The sequence below is a fragment of the Homo sapiens genome, chromosome 2 (assembly GCF_000001405.40).
Source record: "Homo sapiens chromosome 2, GRCh38.p14 Primary Assembly".
Taxonomy (NCBI): domain Eukaryota; kingdom Metazoa; phylum Chordata; class Mammalia; order Primates; family Hominidae; genus Homo; species Homo sapiens.
The window spans coordinates 120,284,493-120,303,462 of NC_000002.12; the positions used below are offsets into that span (position 1 = coordinate 120,284,493).

The window sequence follows — 18,970 nt, forward strand, 5'->3', positions numbered from 1 at the left end:
GGTTCAAGTGATTCTCCTGCCTCAGCCTCCTGAGTAGCTGGGATTACAGGTGTGCACCACCATACCTGGCTAATCTTTTGTATTTTTAGTAGAGATGGGTTTTCACCATGTTAGCCAGGCTGGTCTCGAACTCCTGACCTCAGGTGATCTGCCTGCCCCGGCCTAAAGTGTACAATTTAATAGGTTTTTTTTGTATATTCATACAGATGTGCAACCATCACCATTATCTAATTTTAGATCACTTTCATCACTCCAAAAAAAACCAACCTACGTATTAGTAGTCATTCCCCGTTATTGCTTCCCCGTCCCACCCCTGGCCTCTGGCAACTGCTTTCTGCTTCTATGGATTTGCCTATTCTGGACATTTCATATAGATGGAATCATACAATATGTGGCCTTTATGTCTAACTTCTTTCACTCAGCATCATGTTTTGAAAGTTGTTCCATGTTGCAGCGTGCGTTGGTACTACTTCATTCCTTTCTCAAAAACCCACACCACTGAAAGCCTCTTGGTACACTGTGTTAGTTCATTCTCTTGATGCTGTGAAGAAATACCCAAGACTGGGTAGTTTATAAAGAAAAGAGGTGTATAGCCTCTTTTCTTCCACAGGGCTGGGGAGGCCTCAGGAAACTTACAATCATGGCAGAAGGGGGAGCAAACATGTCCTTCACAAGGCGCCAGGAAGAAGTGCAGAGCGAAGTGGGGAAAAGCCCCTTATGAAACCATCAGGTCCTGTGAGAACGAACTCACTATCACAAGAACAGCATAGGGGTACCGCCCCCATGATCTCATTGTCTCCCATAAGGTCACTTCCCCAACACATTGGGATGATAATTCGGATTACAACCTAAATGATGAGATTTGGGTGGGGATGCAGAACCAGACCATATCATACATCTTGCCAAATTACTTTTCAGATGAATTTTATACTTCCGTTATGAATAAGAACTCCAGTTTTTTGATATACCTAATGTTAAATGACGAGTTAATGGGTGCAGCACACCAACATGACACGTGTATACATGTGTAACAAACCTGCACATTGTGCATATGTACCCTAAAACTTAAAGTATAATTAAAAAAGAATTCCAGTTTCTCACCCTTGCAGGTGTTTGCATTAAAATTTTATACTGACAATAATATTGCCAAGTGTTCTGCTCTGTGCCTGGTTTCCTCATCTGTAAATTGGGATATCTGCCTGTATTGTTTAAAAACAAAAAATGGCAAAACAGAGCTATAAAGAACAGAAGTGTTACGTAAAATGTTGCTTCTGTAGTGTCCTGTTCATAGTGTGAAGTGCCCATATGTGGAATTTTGTTTTTTGGCAGATTTTGTTCCCCTTAAGACTTTGTTAATTACCGATAATGTTTATTTCCTCAGTTTGTAGAAGACTATGAACCTACCAAAGCTGACAGTTATAGAAAGAAAGTGGTTCTTGATGGGGAAGAAGTTCAGATAGATATTCTGGACACCGCTGGGCAAGAGGACTACGCAGCCATTCGAGATAACTACTTTCGGAGTGGGGAAGGGTTTCTTCTTGTGTTCTCAATCACAGAACATGAATCCTTTACAGCAACTGCCGAATTCAGGTATGTCTGAAATGAAATAGCAGAAGCCCCCAGGAAGCTTTTTGCCTTTTCTCATATGTCTTAGGCCTATGAAGAATTTGGGGCTGAGCATACTAGGAGAGGGCTGAGCTTGTTCTCAGGAATAATTCTGTCTAAAGAATCTTCTGGGGCTTTCTGAATCTTGGCACATTATAGACTATGATGATTATAATCTCTTTGGGCTTTCCTGATCTGTGATTTCTGAATAAAATAATTTTAAGAGTCTTACTGTCCCCGAAAACAATGAAGCTATTCCATATAATCAAGAACATATAATTTTGTTCCTATAAATACTCAGAGATTTTCATTGATAAATTAACCATCTATCCTTTAAATAATGTTACTAAAAAAAGTAGCAGGTTTAGTCTGTGTTGAAGGTTATGAAACAATGACTGGAAAGTGAAAGATGGGAGTCAAAATGACCATTTGCTGCTACTTAAGGACTTTCAGCACAGTGGAGGGACGAGAACGCGGCTTTAGAGTCAGGAGACCTGGTTTGAATCCCTGCCTTGCCGCTCACTGACCATGGGCAAGTTTACTTAGTGTCAGGATTTTGTTTCTTTCTCTGGAAATGCACTTGTGAGTTGAGAAATGAAATGAAAGGATGTATTAGACTGTGAATTTCATGTGGGCAAGAACCTGGCTACCCTCCATTGTCCCCTGTCACAGTGTAGACACATGGTGCTTCCATAGTGAGTAGAATATCCATTGTTATTTATTTTAAAATATGGCAACTATTCTCCATGAAGGTGTTAGAGAAGAAAGAAAAAGAAAATATAGCAGTGAAAAAAATACCTTCAGTTCATTTTGTTATAAAGAAATAGCCTTTTGGGCATAATTCTTATGCTCTATAAATGTCTCTTTACCCCATGCCCTTCCCTTTCTCCTACATAATTGAGTTTTAAAAAATCTGTTCTTCTTATAAACATATCTATCTAGATGACTTTTTAAGAAGCAGATCTAGAGTTTAGTAGGGAACTGAAGAGAAAAAACCCAAAAATCAAATCAGTTTTTTTCATTCTTCAGCAAGTTCTGGTCTGACAGTAAGGTGGTCAACCAGAGGTGAAAAGGAGAAAGCTAGCTATCCTTCCAGGACTTGGATGGAAGCATCACTGAGCCAGGGAGGCCTCGGGTGAGCACAGGTCACCCAGCAGGGCTAGTGAAAGATAATAGGGAGGTGCCTCAGTGATGCTTCATAGCTCCAGGCTTCAGAGTCGAAGACCTACTTTTCTGGAAGCAGAGTGCGTGTGGTGCAGTGACTAGTTAAGTGACTATGACTCATTATGAGAAGTTCTGTTAATTTTTAGACATTTCAGACCTTCCTAAGGGCTGCTCTGTTTGAATGTAGCCCATGTATTTATAATTGTTTGCATCTGCGTAGTCCTGTTTTTAATGCCTCATAGAGGGTAAAACAGGACAGATGCACACACTCTCTTCTTTTCTTCCCTGTCCCGAGCCTTTTGATTTCCTGTTGTTCTGTGACTTACTTAGAAGGGAAGTGGGCAGGAGAGTTCTCTGCAGAGGATATGGAGAAATACAGGTATTTCAAGTGCTCCTTGTCCTCTCCTCAGTCACCACACATGCACAGATAGCACTCGGGCGTTCTCACAGAGTTGGAGCAGGGCTCCCCTCAATGTGGAAAAGGGTTTTGGTTGTTAGGTGGAAAGAGAGATCCTTAGAAGAAAAAGGACAGATGAATACCTAAAACCAGAAAGAAGGGGAAGTTGACCTCTGCGTAGGTTTCTCATGTTGTTGGGAACAGAAGAATGCAGGTCAATTATCTGAGCCCTGTGGCTAAACTCAAGTCACTTTACTTCATGTCTGTTAGCAGTTTTAAAACAGCATTTGTGTACTATCTTCCAAATAGAAAGGCCCCAATATAAAATGACATGTGAATATGCTGTCTTCCTTGAAACTTTTTCTGGAAAATATTTTATGAACTAAGATAAGTTCTGTCATAAGAGACCAGAACTTGGTACTCCCATTTTTGGATCGATATGTTTATCAATGAGGTAATTTTGTGTGCCCCTGCAAGACTAATGAGCCAGAAAGCTATCAGTTTTTATTGTTCATAGTTTATAATGATCACATGACTTCAAATGTATCATGTTCTTTGACCCCAGTTCAAATGTAGGCTATAACAAGGCTACACAAAGCCAATTTCAAGCATCTTTTCATCTTTTTTAGTTTGTCTTAAAATATTTGATGTCTGGCACTTAAATTGACTACATGAAAATTTTAGTTTTTTTTTTTGTTTTTTTTTTTGTAGATACAAGGTCTCCCTATGTTGCCCAGGCTGGTCTTGAACTCCTGGGCTCAAGTGTTCCTCCCTCCTCAGGCTCCCAGAGTGCTGGCATTACAGATGTGAGCCACCACGCCTAGAAAATATTTTTATTATTGTGAAATGTTACCCTATACCATATAAAAATCAATACAGATCTCTACAAAATACATTTTTGAAGGGGACTCTTTTTAGAATGTATTGGCATATAAAAGTAGAAATATTCTCATGGGACCAAAATAATGGAAATGGGGTATTTAATTTTTTTAAATATTTAGTTTTGATTAGTACTTTCAGATAGCTGATAATTTTTAGTAGACGTAAAATTTAATATGCTACGAGTAATGGTATTTTTGTAGAAGACACTTTTGAAGTACTTTTCCATAGGGCTTGTCGTATTTCCTTTCATTTTTTTCACTTTGTAGTAGAAAAATGGTACGTATTGGAATGTGATTACTGCCTAACATATCTGTCTCGATTCTGTGGCCTATAACATTACTGTGTCTGCATGGAAACTGGGGATGGGATGACATACTTGTCGTGTACACATGCAGATCTAATCAAAACTGAAGTTTCAAAACAATACAATATTCACCTTTCCTACTTGAGATTCCCTTGGATATTTCTGATCTGGTCAGTTCTGTTCTATAATCTATTTCACTGCAGGGGGGAGAAACTGCTGGTTGCGACCCACTAGATTGGTTTTGTGATCCACTAATAGGCTGCCACCTTCCATATAGAAAACACTGGATTTCATAGCTTTTATGTCACAAACAAATATTTTCAGGGGAATTAAGCATTTTATGGAGATAGTTCCCTTAGCTTGTTTTTATTGCAGAGATTGACCATTTTTCTTCTTTTTGTTTTTTTTTTTGTGTGTGCATAAGTTGGGGACCCTGTTGTGACGTAAAATCCTGGGCTCCTATCCAGACACTTCTGTAAGACTGAGCCCAGAAATCTGCATTTGTGATGAGCATCCCAGGGGATTCTGATGTGGGCAAACTGAGAAGCAGACTTGGAAAACACTTGTCTTGCTCATGACTGCCTCTAGGGAGTGCTTTCTCAGAACATGCCCTAAATCTAGTGATTTTTTTTTTTCCTTCTGCCTTAGGAAAGCCTTTTATTTTAGATGGGTTCACAAAACCAGGGTTCGTTCTTTAGTTTTTTTAGCTGCTGTATTTTTGGTGTAACACCTTAGGGAACAGATTCTCCGTGTGAAGGCTGAAGAAGATAAAATTCCACTGCTCGTCGTGGGAAACAAGTCTGACCTAGAGGAGCGGAGGCAGGTGCCTGTGGAGGAGGCCAGGAGTAAAGCCGAAGAGTGGGGCGTGCAGTACGTGGAGACGTCAGCGAAGACCCGGGCCAACGTGGACAAGGTAGGCGTGAATTCTGTGTATTTCTCAGAAACAGACCTGAGAAACAGCAGAATGGAGGCATCTCATCTGCTGGGTTTTAGGGAACCATTTATGAAAACTAGGTGAAGATTCTGATTCCTATGAATGTCTAAGCCATTATCATGATTATAATGAGAAACATTGAGAGGATGTCACCTTGTATTTCAGACAACTCACAGAACCTTTTACTTTGTCATGAGGCTTCATTAGAGTATGCTTAATGTGTTCTTTTGGGTTTTTCTTTTTTGAGACAAAGTCTCACTGTGACACCAGGCTGGAGTGGTGTGATCTCAGTTCACTGCAACCTCTGCCTCCTGGGCTCAAGCAATCCTCCTACCTCAGCCTCCCAAGTAGCTGGGACTACAGGTGTGCACCACCACACTGGCTGTTTTTTGTGGAGATGGGGTTTCACCATGTTGCCCAGGGTGGTCTCAAATTCCTGGGCTCAAGTGATCTGCCTGCCTCAGCCTCCCAAAGTGCTGGGATTACAGGTGTGAGCCACCACACCCGGCGGACTATGCTTACTGTTGGTGTGGTCCTGGGAAGGATGGTGGGACGAGGCCATTGGTTTGTGAAGGCTGGGCTGGAGGGATGGACGTCATTAGCTTCTGTGTGTGCTCTCACCTTCCACAGCCTTGCTCTTCAGGAGCAGGGTGGGCGGGCCTGGCTGCTTCTAGGAGGTTCCCCTGGAGGTGCCCTTGAAAGATACGTGGAGCTTCTTGATTTTGCTCTCATTGAGTTATTGGTCAGATTTGTTCTTTTCACCTTACTGTTCACTGACAGAGCCACAGTGTTCCATCTTTGTAGTGTAGTCTCTAAATAGTATTTGCTCTCAGAACTCAAATCTCTGGGATCTCTTTTTTTTTTTTATCTCTTATCCCATCCCAGCATACTTTCTCATTCAAATCTCTGAAGCTAATAAAAGGGTGACCTTGAGTGACAATGATGAATGCTGACAATTTGAAAATCCACCTATCAGGGATTGCTATTGTTAGGCCTTTTTTCTTTTTAAAATTAAAGTTCAAGGTGGTTGCCACACAGCTAAAATTTTAACGCTGTGCCTTAAAGATGAGGCTTTCTGCCTTGACCTCATTCACTAGCTCTCACTGCATATCCATGTGCTTGTAGAATCTAAGCACATAGCACTTTGGCAGCCACACAGTGGACACGTCTGCTTTTTGTTCTGCAGCATCAGCATCTGAATCCCCTATATCCTGTCTTCTGTTTCTCTTTCTTGTGCAGAAACATTCCCCTTTGCTTTCATTACCTGACAAGGGAGAGATTTTTATCCAAGCTTTATTTTCACTTGAAGTGATGCTAGAAGAACATTGGTATTTAGAATGTTGGTATTAGAAGGGGTTTGCTTTAGACGCACTTCGGCAAGATACATCTATTTGTATGTATCGTACATAAAAACATGTATCTTAGGAGACATATACATATAGGATAGATATACATATAGGATACATATATTGTACAACCTAAGTCCGTTTAGTTGTAATCTGCAATGGGAAGCGCGTGTTCCGCCGTCAGCTTTTCTTTATATTGTCATCTCTCAACTCTTACACTCTTATATTATTGTGCTACTTAAAATATTTTTATTAAATTATTTTCCAGCTGTGGAAACCACACAGGAAATCCAGAAATATGGCTCATTTTAAAAAAATCAGGGAGACTCTCTCAGCTTGGAACTGTGGATGTGTATTTCCTGGATGGGTTGTCGCGTGGGGGGTCTGTGTTGTCATCTCCCCTTGTCTGCTGGACCAGCTTGACCTGCCAAACAGGAACCAGCAGAGACTTATGACTGGCAGCATGGTATTCACTTGTAAAGAATTTCTATGAAAGGTGTGATAAGATCAGCCCATGAACAACTTTGTCATCATTTTAAGTTGGATGCACTCCATTCCCCTCCTCTTGTCTTTTGCTGTTAGGACAAAAAGACAAACCTGTAGCATTTGAAACTGTTCACTGTTGCTGTCTTGGGCAGTGCTTTCCTGAGAGGCTGGCAAGAAGGGATGTTTGGGTTGGCCTGATCTAGCTGGGGGCTGGGGTTGGGGGTGCTTTTCTGTGCCTGGAGCTAGTGGTAAATGCATGTGGAGCCCCACACTCCAGAGGCTTGATCTTGCTTTTCACCAAGAAGAAGGTGTGGCCATGAAGGAGCTTGTGGTTTTGTGTGAATGTCTGAAGATAAGGGCTGTGCTCAGTCCCACACTTGCAGTCTCTGTCATTCTCTATGAGAAATCTCAAATGTCTCTTCGTAGGATTCATATTTTGTCTGCTTGGGTATAATCAGTCCTCTGGCATGATGGCTGGTAGCAGAGGGCAAAACCCAAACTACTGTGACAAAAGGATAATCCATATCTAAGTAACACACTGACCTTCAAAGGACAAGTCTCATCAGTTCTTGATAAAGTTCCTCTCAGCTGACATCACAAGGGTCGGAGGAGTGGTTGTCCTGAGATTGAGGGTGGGGGAGTGTGTGTGGGGAGGGATAGGGTGGCCAGAAGGACATCTCTCATCCTCCATCTTCTCAGTCGCCTAGTGCAGGAGCTTTAGTTGTTGATGCTTTACGCCCTCCTTCTCCCATCCTACTGCCTCCCCAGGGTGGCTGTTGTGGAGTTAGCTGGGAAAGCTGTCATGCATAATGATGTTCCAACCTCCATGGGGTCCTTGTAAGGATTAAATCAGATGCAGGGGTGTCAAGAGCACCTGGGAGCAGGGACTCATTATGGCATTCTTCCCTTCCCTGGTGGTTGGAAATGCTAGAAAGTCTGCTTGCTGTTATTACTCTCAATATTTGTAAATTTTATAAATGTATAGATCTGTTATATGCAAAAATATGTCTTACCCTTCATCACACTTATTGTAAGATTTTATCATTTTGAAAGCAGCTGTTAGGCCGGGTGCAGTGGCTGACGCCTGTAATCCGAGCACTTGGAAGGCTGAGGTGGGCATTGCTTGAGCTCAGGAGTTCAAGACCCGCCTGGGCAATATGGGGAGACCCTGTCTGAATTTAAAAAAAAAAAAAGCTGCTGCTGCATGGCAGTGACAGTACGATGATTCTGTCCTTGGCTTGAGCAGTTGTGTGATACGAGCAGTTGTATGAGAGATGTTTGCTTTGTATAATTAGAATTTTTTAAGGTTAATTTTTCTTATTTGCCCCAGAGCTATTGTTTCTGTTGACATATGGTTTATAAAAATCAGTTTGACTTTGTGCTTTAAAATGTAACTACATATCCTGCTTAGTCAAATTATTTCATTGAATCCTTAAATGCTGTGTTCACAGTGTCAGGTTAACAAAAGAAAAAAATCATTAAATGGCTCTTTCTTCACTATTCTTTTTACTCTTTACTCCTCACCCCCAGGTGTTCTTTGACCTAATGAGAGAAATCAGAACAAAGAAGATGTCAGAAAACAAAGACAAGAATGGCAAGAAAAGCAGCAAGAACAAGAAAAGTTTTAAAGAAAGATGTTGCTTACTATGAGTGTCAAGGTGACGGATGAAGCCAGCTGCTCCTAAGGACACAGGGCTGGGTTGGTAAAGAGAAGGCTATGGTTGACTTCTTGCTTGTGCTTCCCACTCTCCCCGACTTCATTCACTCAAACTTCTTTAAATGGGGAAAAATATTTGTGACTCTGTGGCTGGCAGAAGAAATAAGCCCATGCAAGTGGAAGGGCTGCTTTGTCAGGAGGTTGTGGAATTTCTTTCTTCTCCCCTTCTTCCCTCCCAAAAGCTTAGCTATGTATAAAGTGCCACAGATAGGAAACAGCTGTTAATTACAAAGAGAAAGAATTGTCATAGCATCTTATTTTGTTCCTAGTTTTATAACATTACCATCCTTCGTTTTGAACTACAGATGTTGTAGTGGGTTTTGGAGGAGGGAGTGGAGTAAGATGCCCTCCCACTTTTATCAGTTTAGTAGTAGTACTGAGAAAAATCCCTTCAGCTCTAAGAACACTGAAAAATCCACCGATTTTTTGGGTAAGCTTCTTGGCAATACCCTGTGGATCTGAAACAGCTAAAAAAATGAATTTGAATTGCGCCAGATAGGTCAATACCAAGCTTCTGATTCCTCCTCACATATGAAAAGTGAAAGTTGTGAGTTGTTTTCCTCTTATTTAAACATTGGCCTATTATAATCTGTGTTGGTTATTTTTCTCCTGTAAGCATCCTGATTTTTCTGTAGGAACTTTTCTTTGGCAGACCAAGTGAAGACTCAGGAATGGTGTGCATTATAAATGACACACATTGCCACTTGTGTAGATATTTTTAAGTTCTTTGGCTAAGTCCTCTCCTAACTGCCTGTCCTCTGGTTAGGCCCCTCCCTCTCCACTAGTGGTGAATGCATGTGTCTGTCTGATCAGCATCACTGCACACGGAGGTCTAGTGAGCCTCTTGCTAAGTGTCACACACACTCTTCCCAAAGACGTGATGAGTTAAAGTTGTATTCTGAAATCATGAAGCCAGAGCCTGTGCCAGACCTTCTGCTACCTCTCATAGAATTGCTCTGTAATTCTAAATTTAAAATTAGAAGTAGAGAGAGATAAGCCATCGCCCCTTTGCCTCTGAGAATTGGCTGCTGTTTCTAATATAATTATTTTCTAAGATAGCCAGATAGTTAGAAAAAGATTTTCATTGATGACATATCTTTAAACTTTCTTGCATCAGTATTCTAAATTGAGCAAACTGAAAGATTTTCATCAGGAAAGGAGCACTGTGGGAAGAGCCCAGTATTCACATTTTTTCCCCATTTTTCAGAAGCGACATTTCATATATAGGTGCCAAAAGTGAATCGGGGTGCGGAGAGTGGGAACCTTTTGAATTTATGATTGTCACAGAGATGGTAGAAATTATGATCTGACTGGAAAACAATCCTGTATCCCCTCCCAAAGAATCATGGGCTTTTTTTTTGAATAAAAAAGCAGACAAATAGACTTTCTCGGGATTTCAGCCTTTTTATTTTATCCTTTTGTCATACATGTGAAATGCAAGTACTGAAGGAATGGCCAGTTATTCATTATTCTTGTCAGGCGTTCTTCAATATCTGACAAACTATTTCAATTAATACTTGAGTTGAGGCAAATAAAATGGTAAGTATTAACCGTCCTTTAAACTTCATCTTTCCTCCATCTCTTCTTAAAATTTAAAAAGTTGATGGTAATGACACTCTTGAATTTTTGAAACAAGCTTTTTGTTTTCATCCTAGTTTGCCATCCATTTGATACCAGTTCTAGTCAAGAGTGGGTAAGTTTGAGCCGATCACAGTGGCTCACGCCTGTAATTCCAGCACTTTGAGAGGCTGAGGTGGGCAGATCACCTGAGGTCAGGAGTTCGTGACCAGCCTGAGGGAAACCCCATCTCTACTAAAAATATACAAAAATTAGCCGGGCATGGTGGCGGGCGCCTGTCATCCCACCTACTTGGGAGGCTGAGGCAGGAGAATCGCTTGAACCCCGGAGACAGAGGTTGCAGTGAGCCGAGGTTGCACCATTGCACTCCAGCCTGGGCAACAAGACTCTGTCTCCAAAAAAAAAAAAAAAAAAAAAAAGGTAAATTTGGAATATGTACAAATGAATTAAAGATGTTATGACTTGTTTCATGCTATAGAAATTATACTTGATATATTCTATTAGTATATTTCTAAAATTTAATTGGATAGCCATTAGAAATGGATCTTCTAACAAAATAACTTATGAGATTCTTAGCTATTGAAAAATAATGAAGCCATGCTGCTTATAGATTTGAAACACAGTCACTAAATGTTTAGATGTTATGTCCATAGCTTAGTGCTATTTTAAAAAATATTTATTTTAGAATTATTTGAGCACCTACTTGGTGTCGAGCTCTATTCTAGGTGCTGGGGATGTGGTGTTGAACAAGATAGGCAAGATGTCCACTCTCCTGGAGCTTAAGCTTTAGTAAGGAAAGAGAAATGAAAACATCAGGATAACTGCTTTGATGAAAATTGGGTAATATGACAGAAAATGTCTCTAAGGTATAGAGCTGATTTAGATTGGGTGGCCAACAGGCTTCTCCGAGAGAGTGATGTGTAAACTGAGACTTGGTGACCAGAAGCAGCCAGCGCTGTGAGGAATGGGTGGGCTGGGTGCAGGAGCTTTCCAGACTAGGAGACAGTTAGTCCCAGGATCCTGGAGTGTTCAGGAAGAAACTAACAACCAGGATACGGCTGGAGTACAAGGGAGCAGAGCAGAGTATTAGAAATAGATGTAACAATCTGATTTCATCAAATAATGTGGGGAAAAGTATGTTGACATAATTTTCTGCAAGTGCCCTATTAAATCTAAGGCACCCTGATTACAAGATAACATAAACAATTTATGTACCACTAGGAACCCTACCAATTAAATGAATTCATCTTGATTCCAATGACATAAAAATGTAGGAGAAAATGTGTCTTTTAGATTAGGTCAATTTTGGCATATAATTTAAATGACAACTGAAATACAAAACTCACCTCTGTTGGTCTATGAGCTACTTTCTAATAAAGCACCATAGAAGCTTAACAGTGTTTGAAAAGTACTAATATGTTAATGTTATAGCAGTAAACTTGACCTCGATATTTTCATTTTAAAAGTTTATTATTATTACTATTTTTTGAGATGGAGTCTCGCTCTGTCGCCCAGACTGGAGTGCAGTGGCACGATCTCAGCTCACTGCAAGCTCCGCCTCCTGGGTTCATGCCATTCTCCCGCCTCAGCCTCCCAAGTAGCTGGGAGTACAGGTGCCCGCCACCATGCCTGGCTAATTTTGTTTTTGTATTTTTTTTTAGTAGAGACGGGGTTTCACTGTGTTAGCCAGGATGGTCTTGATCTCCTGACCTCATGATCCGCCTGCCTTGGCCTCCAGAAGTTCTGGGATTACAGGCATGAGCCACCACGCCTGGCCAAAATTATTATTTTATGTTTGTTTGAGATGGAGTTTTGCTCTTGTTGCCAAGGCTGGAGTGCAATGGTGTGATCTTGGCTCACTGCAACCTCTGCCTCCCGGGTTCAAGCAGTTCTCCTGCCACAGCCTCCCAAGTAGCTGGGATTACAGGCATGCGCCACCACACCTGGCTAATTTTGTATTTTTAGTAGAGGCAGGGTTTCACCATGTTGGTCAGGCTGGTCTCGAACTCCTGACCTCAGGTGATCCGCCTACCTTGGCCTCCCAAAGTGCCAGGATTACAGGCATGAGCCACCACACCCGGCCTAAAATTATGTTATCAAAATTCTAACTGCATGGGCTTTAAAGTCCAGTGGCCTGGAAGTTGTTGTGATGGAAGGTCTTCAGTTTCACTCTTCCCTGCTCCAGCTTCAAAGCTCACATCTAACCCTTCCTACTCTCAGCTCATTCATTGGGTACTCCTGTATTTCTAAATAATCATCTTATGCCATTATTTCTTTTCAACCTCAGACCTTTCCAGTAAGGATTTGACATAACAGACAAGGATTTAGCTCACCTGTTCCCCTCACCCCCAGTTATGACCGTCAGCAGTAATTTCAGTTTTAATTCGTTTCTTGGTGACTGCTATACCTTTAAAACTGTATATTTAAACTTCTGTTTTCTTATTTGGTCAACTCTCAAAAGCGCTGTGTGGTTCTCCACTTGGAAGGGTGAGGGTGTGAGCAGTCCTGCCACCATCTCTTGACCCTGTCTCCTTCCCAGCTCTTGTCAGTTCTTTCTTCTTTATTTACATTATCAGGATGGATGACATGGACATTCCATTCTGTGAGCATAATTCAGGCGTTGGTGCTTCTCTGTACATTAATTCTGAAAGTTGAACACCAATCGCAGATGATACGGTTATTCTCACTTATGTGAACCTGGCTCACTGTCGAGCTGAGCACCATGCAGCAATCATGTCTTTTACCGTGCCGTGCAGGCTGCCACTTGAAGGAGCATTCCTAGTGTCTGGTCCAGCGGACTGTTGTCAGCTGCCTGGATCACGCCATGTGTGGGCTTCAGCTTTGGTTATTTCCTATGCAGTGCCCCTTCACCCCCTCGCCATTTTTCCTGATGTTGGGTTGCTTTTTTTCTTGAGAGAACACTCATGTGCTCTCTTCCCCCTCATGCCAGTTTCTTCCTCTATCGCTTGGAATCTGCTTCCATTCTTCTGAAGATTATTCTGCTTAGAGCTCATGGATCGCGCGATCTCATTTGGACTGGTTACTTTGTAGGAGGTGAGATTTGTATTGGACACTTGGATCAGTTCCACACTTTTCTGAATTTCACGTCTTCCTTTCTTGGTTTTCATCCTCGTTTTGCTGGAGTGCATTTTCGGGAAGGACGTGATGGAGAGCTTTCAGAGCCCCTCGGCATGTATGACAGTATGGGTACTTTTGCCCTTTATTTGATTGCTAGTTCAGCTTGGAGTAAAATTCTGGGTTCAAAATTGTTTTCCCTGGGAATGTGGAAGGCTTGGCTCAGAGTTCAGGAGGGTGCATCATCACTGATCAAATTGGTGCAGCCCTCCCTGGTTGTCCCTTTGCAGTGGGGGCCCTGGCTTTTCCCTCTCTCCCGTTATCGGGGCCTTCTCCTTATCTGCAGGGTCTGAAATGAACACAGCTGTGGATCTTAAGTGTGGCTGTTTTGTGACTCATCCTGCTTGGTAGTCGGCAGAGGCTTCCAATGAAGACTCCTGCCTCTTCAGCTCTAGAAAAAGTATTTTTGAAATTCTTTGATCGCTTCTGTTTTCTCCTTCCAGAGCTCCTGTTACCACCTTTGGAACCTCCTAGATTCATGTCTGCTCCATCCATTTCCTATATTTTCCATCTTTATTTTCTCTCAAATTTATCCTCCCTCCCTGTGTTTTTCCAAGCACTTTGCCAAGCACTGTTGTAAGTTCTTGAGATAGAGCAGTGAGCAAAACAGACAAATTCCTTGCCCTTTGGAAGCTTACACTAGTGGGATCAACTTTGTCTTCTCACTTGCTCACCGTGTGTATGTGTGAACAAAAGCTTTCTTTGTCTTTATTTGTTCCTTTTTCATAGCAACTGTTCTTGGCGGCCTTACGGATTCAATATCTTGACTTTTGAAGGATATTAGATCTTTTGAAAGTTGTATTTTTATTCACTTTTTCTTCTTTATTTTTTAAGCTGCAGTTTTTCTCACGTATCTAATGATTCCTGCTTGTCCAGCCATATTCTTAGGAGGAAATAGAAAGTCGGCCAGGAGTTCCATGTACATGAGTGGGGCTTGTGAAATAGCAGGCTTGACTTTGGGGTGAATGGGTAGAAAACCAGTCATAGTGCTGGGAACCCCTAATGCCTAATCGAGGGAAGGTGTGCTCTGGGGGCCATTGGCCAGGCTGGATGCCTTGGTTCACTCCAGGCAGTTTCTTCCAAGAGAAAAGCACTGGTGATGGACAGAGCTGCCTGCAGGGGTGGGGTGGACCGTGTCCCACACAGACCTCTACCTAGGCTCTCTAGCCACGCACCGTGGTTCTGCTGCTCCATCTGCCGGTTCAGACTGAGCCGGTCCTGTTGCCCTCATCTCAACAGATCCTTCCTTATCGAACGGCTCACGTCTGGGTTTCAGCTTCTGTAAATTTGTCAGATTCACACATCAGCTAGTGACCCTTCCATTCTCTTTGCCCTTTGGGTTTTTTAAATACTATTATTTGAAGAGAGGCTTCAGGGGAGACTAACTTTTGGGCTCAGCTTTCCATTTTGCCCTGGTTTCATTGTCACAAATACTTAAAATTTCCTTTTTTTGCAGATCAATGTTAAATAAAGATTAGAGTGAACACATTGATTTGACTTTATGCAGGGGTCATTTTGAACTTGAGGGCCTATGGCAATCTCTGTTCTCCAGGAGTATGGACCTCAGCATTTGGGGTCAGACCTGGGTCTGGCCAGTTGTCTTTATTTAATTTTTGAGACAGGGTCCTGCTTGGCCACCCACGGTGGAATGCAGTAGTGCAATCATGACTCACTGCAGTCTTGAACTCCTGGGCTCAAGCAATCCTTCCGTCTCAGTCTCCACAGTAGCTGGGAATACAGATGCACGCCACCATGCCTGGCTAATTTTTAAATGCTTTTGCAGAGATGGGGTCTTGCTATGTTGCCAGACTGGTCTTGAACTCCTGGGCTAAAGCGTTCTGCCTGCCTTGGCCTCCCAAAGCGCTGGGATTACAGGTGTGAGCCACCATGACCGGCCTGGTCAGTTGTCTTCTGATACCAACTTTCAAGTGAGGGAATTGTGAGTTTTCACTAAGCCTGTGTTGATTTCACTTATATGTTTTGCTTTTACCTCTTGGTGATCAGTTTATTACCTGTGCAGGTAACAACCTGAACTGCCCGTGTGGAGTAGTACATCCTTTGTCTTATCTTTTTTGAAATGTAGCTGACTTGGGATGTTCTCTTGTTTTTATATGGTCAACAAATCTAAGTTAATTTACCTGTGCTGTTAGCGGTTTTGTAGATTTTTTGTTCTCAGGTTTGGGACGATCCTGCTTGCCAGCTGCAGTTGGTGAGTTACCTGCTCCTTGGTGATGCTGCTTTTTAAAATGCATATTGTCAGTGCAGACTTCCTGATTTCCTTTTGTAAGTTGCTACACGAGGCCCGCTTTGAGGACTTTTTAGAAAGGATGTAGTACAAGTTTTAAAACTAATTTGGGCCCTTGGGTTTAAGGCTGTTCTTCTCTATTTGAGTAGATATGAATGAAAAAAGAGACTTCCTCCAACACCCTTCCGCCCCAGCCTTTGTCTAATTCAAGTGCTAGAGCTTGTCCTGACACACCGCAGCTTGCTGTTCATTTCTACTTGTTCAGTTGTGTGCCACCAAGCTAGACGTGTTCAGTCACACTGACAGTACTGTCAGGATGATTCATTGCCACACACGTAGCTCAAGTCGGAATGGGGCCTCTGGTCGTGTCTGAGAAGCACAGAAACCTGGCTAAGCTGAGGATTCGGCCTCCCACCCAGGTTGGTGAAGGTGCTGCGGCCTGGGAGCAGGAACGGAGCCCCCAGCTGCCAGGAGTGTGAAGCTGCTTCTCCGCAGTGCAGCCTCCACAAGCCTTCTCAGGTGGCAGTGAAGAAGGACCAGATACCTAAACAGTTTTCAAGTTCCGGAATCCTTGGGAAAGTTAGTGTCCATCAACTTCACATGTTAAAACAAGCTTACGGCTGGGCGCGGTGGCTCACACCTGTAATCCCAGCACTTTGGGAGGCTGAGGCGGGTGGATCATGAGGTCAGGCGATCGAGACCATCCTGGCTAACACAGTGAAACCCCGTCTCTACTAAAAATACAAAAAAAAATTAGCCGGGCGTGGTGGCGGGCGCCTGTAGTCCCAGCTACTCAGGAGGCTGAGGCAGGAGAATGGTGTGAACCCGGGAGGCGGAGCTTGCAGTGAGCTGAGATTGCGCCACTGCACTCCAGCCTGGGCGTCAGAGCCAGACTCTGTCTCAAAACAACAACAACAACAACAACAACAACAACAACAACAAACCAAGCTTACTTATTTCTAGTAGTTAAAAACATCTCAAGGTGAGTGTTGCACAGGAATCAAAGGGATGAGCTGGTTAACTTCTTATGGGCTAAGTCATCAGTTACTTCTTGTGTATTTTCAGTAGTTGCAGCTGGGAAAGTTTTCCTAAAATCTGATTTATGTGGCGAAAACACATGTATGATATTATTTTAATCCTGTGGTAAAACTCTGTGAGTCTAGACTGCCTTAATTAGCCACACATTGGTTTGAGTGAGAATCTAAGACAAGAAGATGTCCTGACCCATGAAGTTTCTTCATCCCAGCGCAGCTGGAAACGTAGCCCCAGGCCAGGGTTTCTCAGCCTGGGGGAGGGCTGCGGCATTCTGCAGGGGCTGGCACTCAGTGAAGTGGGGGAAGTGCTGGGGACTCGATTCTGGCTGTGGAGACAGCAGTGGAGTGTGGCTTCCTTAAAGGCCCTGACTTCCTGGGTCAAGGTAACTAAGATACCTGTGTAACTTTAAGTCAGCACTTATCCATGTGCGATTGGCCAACTTATCAACTCATCTGTGCAAATTATGTTCTTTATTAGGGAAAAATTGCTTTTGGTATGTGTATGGATTTTTTTTTTCTCCTGCAGAGATTCTTGAATTGTATGGGTGTAGGAAAATACCCCTTTCTTCTTTTTGTCTTTTCATGGCTAAGTCGTATTCCTTACCTCAGGCACAGGGCAGGGGCTACATGTTCCAGAAACACACATCAGTCGCCATTGCAGCCGCTTCCACTTCTGCCAGGCTGGTTGGGGCAGAGTCACCAGGGACCTCCCCCTGCACAGTCAGTGGCCGTTTCCAGTCTTTACAGTATTGCCAGTGCTCTCGTGCCTGACTGAGCTTTCTCCTGCTTCTCCTTTCACCTCTCTCCCTGCTCGGGGTCTCACTCCTTTACTGCCCACTGTGGTGGTGCGCACCTGTAGTCCCAGCTACTCGGGAGGCTGAGGCAGGAGAATCACTTGAACTCGAGAGGCAGAGGTTGCAGTGAGCCGAGATCGTGCCACCGCACTCCAGCCTGGGTGACAGAGTGAGATGGGAAAAAAAAAAAAAGAATAAAGCTTATTGACGTATAACATACAAACAATAAAAGGTCTTTGTAAAGCCCCGTTCTGACCCTCTGCTCACCCTTAAGTACCGTGTAGCTGCTCTGCAGCCTTTCTGGACGCGCCGAGGACTTTCCCTGACGTGCCTCATGAGCCCCTCACAGCTCCTTCTGCGGCTTCGTGCTCCTCTCAGTCCCTGTTGTCGTGTGAGCCCCATGAGCACAGAGACCACACACTGTTCACTCTGTGTCTCCGGGCCCTCTATTGATGTGGACTCATTGCAGGATCTTGGGTGTTGGCTAAACTGAATGAGTTAGCTTAAATGTAAAATCATGTCGCCTTGAGGAAGTGCTTCAAGTTTCTCTATAAAGCAGGGGCTCTCTTTTGAGGACTGGTACCAAGAGACATAGTGAAATAAGAGCTAGAGCAGTGATCTTAGAAGTCTGACCAGGTTCTGTTTCTCTAAACCCAGATTGGAGGACTGATTGTTTTCTCAGTGAGAAAGTTTTCTGCTAAGTTGAAAGTAGACACTTGCCGTCTGCCTTGCCGCTCCCCACCCTTAAATCCGGTGGTGGTGAGCTCGCCCTCACGTTCTTTTCTGCCCTGTTTTTCTTCCGTTAAACGTTTGCTGGCCGGCATGCCTTCTCCCTGGTATCCCCCAGAACATAGTTTTCCGTTTCTACTTTTCAGCCTCCTCTTCTTCCTTCCTTGTTTTCCTGACCTCACACGCTTTGGAGATGTGGTCTGGTAGTCATGGTGGTCTTCCCACTCAGGTCTCTCCCTGTTTCTGTCCACTGTAGGAACCCCTGCCTTGGCAGCTGGCTTAAGTACTACCCAGATTGCACTCCTGCCCGTCGCCTGCAGAAGTAAGTACAACTGATTTAGCCAGCGTTAGAGCAAACGATGGAACTGCCTCAACTGAACACACACCTAAGTGAGCCATGGCGCACCAATGCTGTGGAAATGCAGCTTTGGATAAGCCTTCTCCATCCCCCACCCCAGCTGTTCCTCCAAACCTCTCCTCTGTAGGGATTCTGGAGCGCTCTATCAGAGCCCCCAGGGACCTCACCCCATCTGGATGCCTGCCATCCCTCCACCTGCACCCTTGCCGTTCAGCACTCTCCTTCTCCCTGAGCAGTGCCTGTACTTGGCATAGAGAGGTTG

General features: G+C 43.3%; 1 protein-coding gene across 12 annotated transcripts in view, besides 2 other annotated features; it reads left to right on the plus strand.

Moving 5' to 3' along the window:
- The window catches only part of RALB (RAS like proto-oncogene B), a 54,641-nt gene extending 44,423 nt beyond the window's left edge, over positions 1-10,218 (plus strand). For all 12 annotated transcript variants that reach the window (XM_047445359.1, XM_047445357.1, XM_047445358.1 and 9 more), the window contains 3 exons: positions 1,382-1,590; positions 5,088-5,265; positions 8,649-10,218. In XM_047445359.1, coding sequence (XP_047301315.1) covers positions 1,382-1,590; positions 5,088-5,265; positions 8,649-8,768 — 507 coding nt within the window. In that variant the 3' untranslated portion in view covers positions 8,769-10,218. The remainder of the gene's footprint in view (positions 1-1,381; positions 1,591-5,087; positions 5,266-8,648) is intronic.
- Positions 3,048-3,217: an enhancer, noted in NCBI's record as "active region_16460". NCBI's record gives its function as "activates an Ori minimal core promoter by ATAC-STARR-seq in GM12878 lymphoblastoid cells {active_cell/tissue: GM12878}" and the evidence as "EXISTENCE:reporter gene assay evidence [ECO:0000049][PMID:35858748]".
- Positions 6,019-6,714: an enhancer, noted in NCBI's record as "NANOG-H3K4me1 hESC enhancer chr2:121048087-121048782 (GRCh37/hg19 assembly coordinates)". NCBI's record gives its function as "activates a minimal SCP1, AML or CMV promoter by ChIP-STARR-seq in naive H9 embryonic stem cells {active_cell/tissue: H9 hESC(naive)}" and the evidence as "EXISTENCE:reporter gene assay evidence [ECO:0000049][PMID:30033119]".
- Positions 10,219-18,970: the final 8,752 nt, after the last annotated feature.